At 34.6% G+C, this 12,905-nt stretch overlaps 1 protein-coding gene across 11 annotated transcripts in view; it reads right to left on the reverse strand.

Moving 5' to 3' along the window:
* TRPC4 (transient receptor potential cation channel subfamily C member 4) overlaps positions 1–12,905 on the reverse strand; it is a 237,710-nt gene that overhangs the window by 34,782 nt on the left and 190,023 nt on the right. For all 11 annotated transcript variants that reach the window (NM_001135958.3, NM_001354806.2, NM_001372055.1 and 8 more), the window contains one exon: positions 7,384–7,523. In NM_001135958.3, the coding sequence (NP_001129430.1) occupies positions 7,384–7,523 (140 nt within the window). The remainder of the gene's footprint in view (positions 1–7,383; positions 7,524–12,905) is intronic.

Below are 12,905 nucleotides of genomic sequence, written 5' to 3' on the forward strand. Positions count from 1 at the left end.
TCTTCTCATTCTACCAATTCTCCCTGGGTGTTTTCCAGGATTTCAACTCTCAATGACTATTCTCAACTATACATCTCCAGCTGAGACTTCTCACCTAACAGCCCTATTCTGCATTGTACTGTCTGGTTGACTTTTCCACTGGGATGTCTCACAGGCATCTCAAACTCACAGATCGAAAGTGTAACTCACCACCTTTGCATCCTGAAACTCTTTCTCCATTTACCCCTTCTGATCTTATGAATGGCAACAGGTCACCAAGTCAGAATTTGAGGTTCCTCCTAGAATCTTTTTGTCTAAAATCCCAGCATCTAAACCCAAATCTTATGTAGGTTGCTTCCTTCTCTTCATCACTACCCTCACTGTTTTAAAATAGTACCTCTTATTTCTCAGATATAACTGCAGCACCTTCCTCACTGCTCTCCCTGCCTTAAGTCTTATGTCCTCCATCATCTATGTATCTCCTCAGGAATCTTGTTTTTTGAGACGTAGTCTTGCTCTGTCGCCCAGGCTGGAGTACAGTGCCGCAATCTCGGCTCACTGCAACCTCCATCTCTTGGGTTCAAGCACTTCTCCTACCTCAGCCTCCTGAGTAGCTGGGATTACAGGCACCCACCACCATGCCCAGCTAATTTTTACATTTTTAGTAGAGACGGGCTTTCACCACAATTGGCCAGGCTGGTCTTGAACTCCTGATCTCAGGTGGTCTGCCCGCCTGGGCCTCACAAAGTGCTGGGATTACAGGCATTAGCCACGGCACCCAGCCCTCCTCCAGAATCTTTTAAAGAACCCAACCAGCCCATGTCACATATTATTTAATGTTCTTCAATCACAACATTGTCCTTGAGATGACCTTCTGATTTTTCAACTTGCTACATAAAGCCTCTATGTTCTGACTCCTTTTAAAGATTTAACTGCCATTTGGCTCTAATTAGACACCTAATGTTTTGGCTCAAACTTTCACTACTGGTAATTCCTCAAATTAGTCACACATTCTTACCAAAATGCTTTTCCATGAACATTGTACCATTTCTCTAGAATGAATTTAAATTCCAATTATTTTGTTATTCATTCATCAAGTATACATGAGTGTGCCTGCTCTGTGTCAGGCACTGTCTTCGGGGTTCATGGTACTGATCAAGGAAGATGCCATACGGGTTTACAACATGGTGAAGTCATACATTAATCAAGCCATGCTAATCCTTTACCCCGACTGCAGATGCATGGACATTAGGATCCTGCTGATCAGAGCTGACAGCTCCGTGTTGTAAAGTAATCCTTTAGGAAGAAATCAAGAACTACTTTAAACACACATAGGTTTTCTAGGATCATTAATTCCTGTATTCCTCCTTCTCTCAATTATTTGTTTTCAGTCTGTATGTACCCTAGTTTGGTTTTTCCCCAAGCCTTTATTTCTATTCAGATTCCTTTGAAAGAGAATTGCTTATTTTGCAGACCTATATAATAGAGAGGTACTTTTGGATTACTTGTCAGATTCTTATGCAGGGAGCTTTGTCTAAGGCATTTTTAGGTGCTGGACATCTAGTAGAGTGCTTTATATATGATAGGAACTCAAAAAGCACTCTGGGGAGAAGAATTATAGACATATTAAAAAACAAAGTGGTTAGAGAATATGGATCATTTTTATAAATGTATCTTGACACAGATGTAACACAGAGGATTTGGGAACAGTGAGATGAGTATGAGAGGATGAGATGAGTTGGAGCCAAGTCATGAAGAGTTTAGCAGCAGTGTTAAGAGAGAAAGATGAACTGAATCATAATATTGGATCAGAAGTTTATTGAATGTAGGAAAATATGTTAGGCTATCTTTATATCCTCTGTAGTCTCTGATGCATACTTGTGAATGTCAAGTAATAAATAGAAATGAGTAAAAATTAAATTAATATGAAATAAAAATATTGGTCAGTGAGATTAAATAAGAAACATATATTGGTTTTAATGTGTGCTTTACATGGTGAAATCTTTTCCCTTTCTAGAAATTTATCAGATAATTAAGTAGTGAAAGACCAAAAAGACCAGTGTTTATACTGGCATATTATTTTCTCTTCAAGTACATAATTCTGATTAAACAACTAAGATTCAAATCTTTATAGCTTTCTGCCATAAAACTAAAGAATACCTTAGACAATCCCACACTTTGGGGAGCAGACTAAAGTTACATCATTTATAAAATAGGAAAAACACTTGGCCCTTTTCTAGTTAATAAGAAATGGGATCTATGAGACATGCAGTTAGAACTATTTAGAAGAATGGTGCTATAAAGAAAAGCCACAATGATGGTTAAAACAAATCTTCTTATTAATAAAAATTTTGATTTTTGAAAATATTATTTAAATTACACAGCGAAAAAGGAATTAAAATCTAATCATTTCTGCCAAACTGTTGAAGATAAATATGAGAAGTGTTACATACAGAAAAGGGGCTGGATAATATTTAGAAATAAACCAGCCCTAATGAAACTGAAGTAACGTTTTATAACTGTGGTCCCCAGGCATCAACAAACTCCAGATTAACTAATACTTCATACACAGTGAAAAGAGAAAATGATTGACAAACTTTCCTCTAGAGGGTTAGGAGCAATTTTTTAAAAGTTTATAACCCATGAGCTTTAAATGCTAATAAATCAAGATACTCAAGAAAACACCACAAAACTTTGCATGTAAAATGGATAATCTTGAAGTCATACATATTTTTATGCTCTGTCTTTGCACATTATAATACTGTTGCATTGTATATAAAAATTGAGAGCAAATACTGCGTTTTTATATTAGGTTCTATTCTATGGAATTAAATGTTTATTGATTTAATCTTCAGAAACATTCTATTATGTTTGATTGTTATTATTGTTTTACAGCAGAGAAATTTGAGGCACAGGTTCAGTAACTTGCTCCAAATCACATAGGTAGGAAGTGATATAAGTCATAGTCACAGCAATTCCATGGCCTTGGTTAGAAGGGCTGTTTTGTGTGCATTTTAAATAAAGATCTTTCTTGCAAGTAGATGGATTTCAAAAGTATGAATGTCATGAACTGAATTGCATCTCCCCAGATTGAGCCCCCCAGTGTGATGGTATTTGGAGATGGTATTTTTGGGAGGTAATTAGGTTTATATGAGGTCATGAGGGTGGGCTTTCATGATGAGATTAGTGTCCTTATAAGGAGACACACCAAAGTTTGCATTCTCTCCCAACCCCTTATGCCCCACCCCCACCAGGTGAATGTGACCAACCTTCTATAAGTCAGTGAGAGAGACCTCACCAGAAACCAACCATGCTGGAACCTTGATCTCAGGCTTCCAGCCTCTGTAACTGCAAGAAATAAATTTCTGTTGTTTAAGCCACCCAATCTATGGTATTCTATTGTGACAAGCCGAGGTGACTAATACAATGGAGAAATTAAACAAGGCTGGCCCCTATGACAGATGTTTCTAAAAGGTTCTTTTTCTGAAAAGAACAATTATAACAAGATTTTCTTTTTTTGTAGGATGATACAGTTTTTTTTGGTCCAGTTCCATGACTTAACCAAAAGGACCTATGAATGGACTTTGTTCCTGTTCAGGAATCCTCAGATAGGAGGTAGAACCTATACAATCCTAGCAGAGGTCCTAGTCATAACACCGGTAATCCCGTCTGAAGCAAAAGAGGTGAATCTATTATTTACTACGGAGAATTATTAGCATGATTTAATCTACCTCATATTTCATAATTACTAAATCACATATCTTCCAGATGTTACTACCTAAATTTGTTCAAGTCCAATCTTCTATCATCTTCTCCTATGTTCACTGCTCTATTTCAGGCAATCATCATCATTTGAACCATTCCCTGCATAAATGACCTAAATGGATCCTTATAATTTATAGGGTAAAATAAAAGCCCGATAGCAAGATGTGGAAAGTCCTTCTCACCTTCTCCCTGCCCACATTTTTAGGATCATCCAAAATAGATAGTGAACTCTGCTTGTTAAACACTCTGACTTTTGCATATTGTGCCTTTTCTGTCTTGAATGCTCATGCATGTTCATGATCATGATAGATATCCACTTGTACTGTCCTCTGTATAATTCCATGTCATTACAGAAAAGTTCAGTTCCTTCTCTCATGTTACAGTAGCCCCTCTTATAGACCTTATTACATTGTAAGATCCTTGTTTACATGCATTTCTCTTTCATCTACCTGACCGTGACCCACTTGAAGGCAAGAGCTACCTCTTGGGCAGATTTGCATTTTCAGCAACCAGATCAAAAGCTGTTTCTTAGTGTGCTCCAATAAATGCTTATTGATTTGATTAGCTTCTTGATTCACATAATAGCTGTTTGCTTTATCTACATCAGCCTCTATTTTTTCATGCAAATTACCTACCTGCTCTTAAAATAATAATTTATAAGTTATTACAAATTAGCCTGAAAAAAATTGAATGATAGAACAAATGTAAGGTAAGGAAGGACAAATCAGAAAATCAGAGTGACATCACAGGCCCCCAGAGTGAGTACTCTTTTGATTATTATCATCAACTTACAGATAATAAAATTGAGACCTACATTCAATAACTTGTCCCATACCATACAGATTGAACATGGTGAAGGCAAGTGTGGACCTAGAGCTCAAACTCTTTTAAAACTAAAATAAAACAAATGAGGAGACACATTAAAGATCTTACAAAAGGCAAGTCTAGTAGACTCATAGTACATGAGAAAGAAAGCAAAGACAAAAGTAAAAAAAAAAAGAAAAAACTAATTTAGTGTGCTTATTCTGTAATAGGCACTTTAAATACATCAACTCATTTACTTCTCATGCCAACAGCATAAGGTAGAAATTATTATTTTTCTTATTTTATGGATGAGACAAATAGAGGTGAAGAAACAGGCTCAAGGTCACCCAACTAGTAAGTGATGGAGGAAAGGAGCACCAAAAATGTGACTCCACAGTGCATGCCAATGAATACATGAACCCAACTCAAAAACATACATTGTGCTAAATGCAAATCCTTCAGAAAGGACATGTTGTAGTTTATATTTCCAATTGTAGCTGAACTCCTATGACCATATATTAACAAACTATGTATTTTTTGAAGACTTCACATTCCTTAGGTCATCTTCATCTGCAGTAATTACTGTGTACTGCTCCACATACCGTTTCTCCCTCTGCCCCCTCCTTTTCATCACTGGGGTGAGTGAGTTTAATTCTAAACATGAAGAACAATGTTTAGATTTTAATGGTAAAATAGATTTTGCCAGTGTAGAATTTACAACTTTTTAACTAAATTAAAATCCCACATCTAAAAGTCTTGAGGCAAAACATCCACAAATATCCATTAATCTATGTAAGCATACTCACTACGTACCAGAGTTCTTATATATGAAAAAATACATGTACTATACATAAACATCACACAAATGTAATAAATACAAACATGATATAGCTTAGTTTAAATATTGTCTAAATAGATGTATAACAGCAGTTTCTTTGGGACCCAATCTCACAGTTCTCTGAGCTGTAGAACAGGTCTATACAATGCAATGTTCTTCACAGTGTCTTCCTTAGGTCAACTGTATCAGTATCAACTGGGAGTTTGTTAGAAATGCAAATTTGGACTTTGTCTTAGTACATGTAACTTAAATCTGGTGATGGAGAAAATGAACCTGAGTTTTGGCAAGCCCTCCTTATGATTCCTATCCACTTAGAAATTTGAGAAGAACTGGTATTGTGATATAATCCCAGAATTTCATGACAGCACAAAACCACAAAAAACTACATATATTACTTTTAGAAGTAGGTCTAAACAATTTTATGTATACATCTAAGAATCATGACAGAAGAAGGGGACTGGAGAGCTAGGCGCTTAATCACAGACTGCCTACCTCTTACAGAAATGCATAATCTCCTTTGGTTAAAAGAGTACCTTCTGCTGTCTTAAACTTTTCAAGGTCATTAACCTCAATGCATTAATAAAATTACCAAATTATGTTTTCATTTTGAAATATACTTGCTTTCCATAAAATTGATAGAAATTGCTTTCCCCTAGTATTTCGGTGAGCACTGGTAGCATTTTAACAGAAAACTATGGCCTTTCCAACTTCAGACAATTTTTTTTATTATTATACTTTAAGTTCTAGGGTACATGTGCACAACGTGCAGGTTTGTTACATAGGTATACATGTGCTGTGTTGGTGTGCTGCACCCGTTAACTCATCATTTACATGAGGTATATCTCCTAGTGCTATCCCTCCCCCCTCCCCCCACCCCGCGACAGGCCCCAGTGTGTGATGTTCCCCACCCTGTGTCCACGTGTTCTCATTGTTCAATTCCCACCTATGAGTGAGAACATGCGGTGTTTGGTTTTCTGTCCTTGCAATAGTTTGCTCAGAATGATGGTTTCCAGCTTCATCCATGTCCCTACAAAGGACATGAACTCATCCTTTTCTATGGCTGCATCCAACTTCAGACAATTTTGCTTCTGTCATACCTGAAGGTTGCCCACAGAAGCAGAAGGCATTATTTTAAGAACTAGGCTAAATGAATAAAAGTTTATCTACATGTTAGAATTTTCTAGTTCAGATTATTAAATTGAATGCATTATTTATGTCACACCCAATTAGATATTCTTTATTTTTTTTTTTTTACCAATTAACTAGTTATTTTGAAACTTTTATTTTTTTAAAGAGAAAAGGAAAGGGGGAAAAGGAAAATCAGTGAAGGAGAGAAGATAATCCTCTGGGTTGAAAGAAACCCAACAAAGTACAAAATAATCCCAATTGTCATGACAGAACAAAAATGTTTTATGCAAATTATGAGGTTGGGATAAGATTGATGGTGTACAAAATCTGGGGGAGTAATGAGTGTGTGAGATTTCAGGCACTGTCATGTTGAATGGGATGAGGAGAAAGAAATTATATTCTGCTCTAATTATATCAAATTGTATTAGTTTATACTGAAATAATAATTTCAATGCTTTGAAAGAGTAATATTTTGATCTGTCTATGAAATTTTATCTATTAGTTATAACTGAAGAAAATAGATTTGGGTTGCCAAAATTTAAACAGTGTTTGAAGCACAATTTCATTAGAAATAGAAAGGATTAGAAACTAGAGCAGTTACTGTGAATAGTTTTGAGACATCATTCTACTTAGTAGATGCAAGGGAATTGGGTGATAACTTCTACTTATAAAAACTTGTTTTGTGATTAAAGGCTATGCATTTATTTATGTATTTTTATCCCTATATATCTATCAATAAAACCATGAGCTGATGAATACGACATCCGGAAAAAGCTCTAGGTAACTTTATTAATAAAATTAATATCAGTTGAAAGTATATCATTAATAATCAGAACATATGCTTTACCAACAACATAAATAATAGTTACCTTTACAAATGCAACAATTTTCAAGGAGATTGTTGCTAAATATAAGGAGTTCATTACAAAGTCCATTAGATTCCACCAATCATGGATGTAGTCCTGAAGTCCGCCATCCCACATCTGTTTAATTTCTCCCCATATGAAGCCTGCAATTATAGAAAGATTCATTGTAAGTATGATTTCAATAGAATCACTAAAAAAGCAATATACAATTTAACAATTATAGATCTCGAAGCTACAAGAGACCACATTGTTACACTAAATGCAACATCTATTTTTTACAGGTAATAACACTGAGTCCCAGCCATACTTTAAGACTTTCAGATACTAAGCTAATTCTGGAAGATGTTGTTAGGACAGCCTCACTTTCTTTTATCCATTCGATAAATTCATAAGGATAAGTAGTTTTTAAATTATACTGTAGCTCCTTTATAACTATATATTTCCCTTGGAAAATAACATTTTCTTAAAAGCAAATGTCTTGACATATATTTTTCTCCCAAGTCAAAATTACTCAAAGATCATGAAAATCAGTGTATCTAGCAATCATAACTGGTTTCAGACAATTAGTGGAGTATCTTGTTGTGTTTCTTTAAGCAGTTAGTGCCTTCAGAGACCGGACTTCAATCTTGAGAAATGATGGTTATAGCATTCATGATAATTCATTAAAATACTTTATATCCAGAAAAAATGTATTTTTAATTTTTAATAGGAAATGCTTTATTTTCAAATTCTATGAAGTACTTACAAAATATTAGTGTAGGTTATTATTTTATTTCCATTATCTTATTAAAATTTTATAATTTCGTATTTAGAGCCTAATGATGAGAGAGATGTCAAAATATCTAGATTCAGTAAATATTAAAAGGGTAAATATGATGTCATAACTACATTAACACAAGCAAACAGTGAGAATTTTTTAGGATAATACTCTGAAACATGAAATTTAGAGTTGAAGATCTTCCTAGGATGTAGAAAGTTGGAAAAGTATTATCCCTACACTGACTCAAGAAAAAGTGAAATTAACTATAAAAATCATAATTTTCCAAGCATGCATCAGAGAGACGAGAAATCAAGGAATCTAAACTTTAAAATATATGCACGTTCCTCTAAAGCAACCATGTTGTGAGACTTAGCTCACCTGCGGCAGAGTATGCAAGGAAGAGACACTGGCACCATCCAAGAGACTCGGCTGACTGTGAGGTAGCAGGAGAGACTAGAATCCCTGGGAGCCACAGTTACAAGGAAAATTTCTACCCTCTTGCATGCTCTTCTTCATGGACCCTATCCACAGCTCAAGAGAAATATTATAGTTCAAGCCTGGGGAGAAAAGAGGCTGCTTCTGTGGGAGAGGCACAGTGTCCTCTCCAGGCTCCTCTCACCTAAGGAGCAAAACACTTTAGCCTTGTGGAAGAGACAGAAAGCACTCCTGAGCCTCAGGTTTACAGCAATACCATTAGAGCAGGGACAGGAAAAACTTTCCTGTACATAAGCTGCCATGTTTGCCATGAAAAGGAGGGCATCGATCATGGAGAAAGTTCCATCCCTAGCAGTCAGATATAGGCCTGCCTAAGTCTGACCCTGGATGAGGACATCAGAGAGTTTTCCTGCCCTCCATCACGAGGCCAACAAACACCAGGGAACAATCAGCAATTGACAACCACTGGAGGAAGGGCCTCTGAGGCATAGATGTACAGGGAAGATCAAAAGCTGTAGGTGGAGAAGGAACACTGAGAATAATCTTCTTTTCCACCCTAAGCTGTGGCATATGATGCACTGAAACTGACGGTGGCAACAACAAAACCCAAACCCAACTCAGCTCCTGACTTATTGCCTCAAACCTCTACACTAACTTAGAAGAGAAGAGGCATGTACACTTTCAGGCATAAAGGCTGTGTACGTCTGTGGCTAGTCTTCTGCATAGGTGGAATGAATAACTTTCCAAAACACACGTACACATACGTACCCACACACACCAAACCGTGATGCATCATATTCAAACCGTCAAAAACAAAAGATAAAGAAAAAATACCGAAAGCAGCCAAGAAAAAAAAAAAAAGGAAAAAAGAGAGACATTTTGCATACAAAGGAAGAAAAGTAAGACTGACAGCAAACTTCTGGGTGTAAAAAATATATACAAGGCAATGGAGTAACATCTTTTTTTTTTTTTTAGTTGGAGTCTCACTTTGTTGCCAGGCTGGAGTGCAGTAGCGCAATCTCCGCCCACTACAATCTCCGCCTCCTGGGTTAAAGCGATTTCCCTGCCTCAGCCTCCCTAGTAGCTGGGACTACAGGCACGCACTACCCCATCCGGCTAATTTTTTGTATTTTAGTAGAGACGGGGTGTCATCATGTTGGCCAGGATGGTCTCGATCTCCTAACCTCGTGATCCGCCCGCCTCGGCCTCCCAAAGTGCTGGGATTACAGGCAGGAGCCACCGCGCCCGGCCTGGAGTAACATCTTTAAAGTGCTGAAAGAAAAAGAATAAGAGTTAACCCAGGATTCTATATACAACACAAATAGCTCTAAGAAATACTTACTAAAGACTTTTTCTTCAATCAAAATCTGAGACGATTTATTCCTGTCAGATCTACACTAAAAGACATACTAAAAGGATATTTTTAAGGCAGAAGGTGTATAATATTGGACAGAAAGTTAGATTTATTTTTAAAAATGAAGATTTATGTCCAGAAATGTGTGTGTATATATATATATGTTATACATATAAAATACATATATTTATTTTTATTTAAAAGTTTTCTAACATATAATTGACTGCCTAAGTAAAAACTGTAGCAATATATTGTAATTGTCAACATAGGTAAAAGTAAAAGGTATAATGACATTAGCACAGAAGATGAGAATTACAAGCCTCCCGTCATAAGGTTCTTATACTACACATAAAGCAGAATAATATTTTTGAAGTTAGAATGTAATAAATTAATATTTTATATTGTAAATACTATGGCATCCTTTTAAATATTTTAAAATATATGAGTAGAGAGCTATACATGTAAATAATTAGGGTTATACAAATATTTAATCCAATAACAGGCATAAAAGGAAAAACGCAACGAAGAACAGATAGCAATGGGGGTAGGTTTCCAGTTTACCCATATCATAATTATACTCAATGAAATGTATGATCTAAACACACTAATGAAAATAAAGAGATGATCATATATGAAAAAAGTACAGGCATAACTCTATCACAATTCATCCATAGAAGTAAAGGAAAAATAAAAATATAACATAAAACAATAATGAAAAGAAAGCTCCCGTGGCTACATTAATATAAAAGTAGATGTATTTCAGAAGAAGCAATGTTACTAGGTATATAGAGGGATATAACATAAAGATAAAAAGGCGAATTTGCTGAGAAGATATAAAAATTCTATGTGTGCTTGCAGTTAACAAAAGAACCCTATAATACAAGATGTCATAACTATTAAAACTGAAACAAGAAACAAAGAAAAGTAGAATTATAAGTGGAGGTTTCAGCATTCCTCTCTCTGTAACCAACAGAACCAGTAGACAGAAATTTAGTAATGATATAGAAGACCTGAACAACACTACCAACAACATGAGAACAGCAGAATACACATTTCTTGCTCGTGCACATGGAACATTCACCAAGATAGGCCATAGTGTGGACCATGAAACAAACCTCAGCACATTTATTTAGGTTGAAATCATACTAAGTAAGTTCTATGACTACAACACAAATAAACAACCAATCAATAATTAAATGTACCTAGAAAATCCCCAAATATTTTTCAACTAAACAATACAGTTCTATTATCTTTCGGCTCAAATAGGAATACATGAGAAGAGTTAAAAATATTTTGAAATGATTGAAAATGAAGATACAACCAAAAACTCTTTGTGAGGCATCTAGAGTAGTGCTTAGAGGAAATATACAGCTCTGAATGCTTTATCAAAAAAGAATGAGGGGTTCATCTCAGTGATTTCACCTTCAATTAAGACAGTATAAAAAGAAGAGCAAGTTTAAACCAAAACAAGCAGAAAGAAGAAAATAACAAAGGTAACAAAAATCAATAAAATCTGAAACATAAAATGAAAGATAAATCAATGAAAACAAAATCTAGTTTTCTTAAGTGGTCAATAAAATTGATAAAACGCTAGCCAGAATGATTAACAAAAAAAGATGATATAAATAATCAATATCAGAAATTAAAGAAGGAACATCAATATAGATCTTATAGATATTATAAGAATAATAAGCAACTAGAATGAATACCTGGATGCTCATACATTTCACAACTTAAATGAGCTTTTTTCCCTGAGACATAAACTTTAAAACTCACTCAAGAGGACATAAAGCAACCTGAATAGTCCTATAGTTATTAAAGGAAATGAACTGGTAGTTAATATCCTTCCAACAACAAAAAAATTCAGGTCCAGTTGATTTCATGGTGCATTCACCCAAACATTTCAAGAAAAAATAATACTAGTGCTAATCACACTCTTGCAAAGATAACAACAGTAAGAAACATTTAAGAGGCAAGTATTACACTGATAAACAATCAGACAAAACTCTTTAAAACTACACACCAATAGCCCTTATAAATATGCACAAAAATCCTCAATAAATAGTAGTGAATAAAAGTTAGCAATATATAAAAATAATAATAAATCATGGCCAAGTAATGTTTTTCCAGGTAATGAAAGGTTGTTTCAATATTTAAAAATCAATCAGCATAATTTATCCCATCAACAGCTTTTTGAAAAAATGTGATCATTTCAATAGATGCAGTATAAACATTTGACAAAATTTAACATGCATTCATGATAAAAACTTTCAGTAAAGTGTGAATAAAAGGGAAATTTATTAATTTGATCAAGGGCATTTATAAAAATTTATAACTACTTTTCTGTAAAGGGCCAGAGAACAAATAATTTAGGCTTTGCAATAAATGGGCATGAATGTGTTCCAATGAAACTATTAAAAAAACTGGCAAACAATCTGATATCAGGGCCGTAGTTTGCTGCCTCCTGTGGTGGTTATTACATGACTGTATGCGTTTTAACATTTTATATCTCTGCATTCAACTCCAAAAAGTTAGTGTTATAACTTAATTTGAATGTAGCCAAAATTACAAAATTGATATTGAGGAATGAATACAGTGATAGAAAAAATAATTAAAAATATTATGGTAATACATTGATTACAGGTAATATATGAGTAACTATAAATTTTTTACATTTTCTGTATGTTTGAAATTTTTCATAATAAAATGTTGAATGAAATAAAAGCATAGTAGACATGATGGTCTATCATTAATTAGTGAAAATAAACAATGACTATTTAAAATTATTGATAAAGTTTTGTTTTTATATTTTGTTATATTCAAATTTATAACTCACATGAGAGCTGATTTCAGATAAATTAATTATAGTGTATTTTTAAAGTTGGCTGTAGACAACTGCTTTATTCTAAATTCGGCATTTACATCCTAGTTTCCCGTTTTAGTCATCTTTCATAAATAAATCTCTCATGAGAGGTC

The sequence above is a fragment of the Homo sapiens genome, chromosome 13, assembly GCF_000001405.40.
Source record: "Homo sapiens chromosome 13, GRCh38.p14 Primary Assembly".
Classification (NCBI taxonomy): Eukaryota; Metazoa; Chordata; class Mammalia; order Primates; family Hominidae; genus Homo; species Homo sapiens.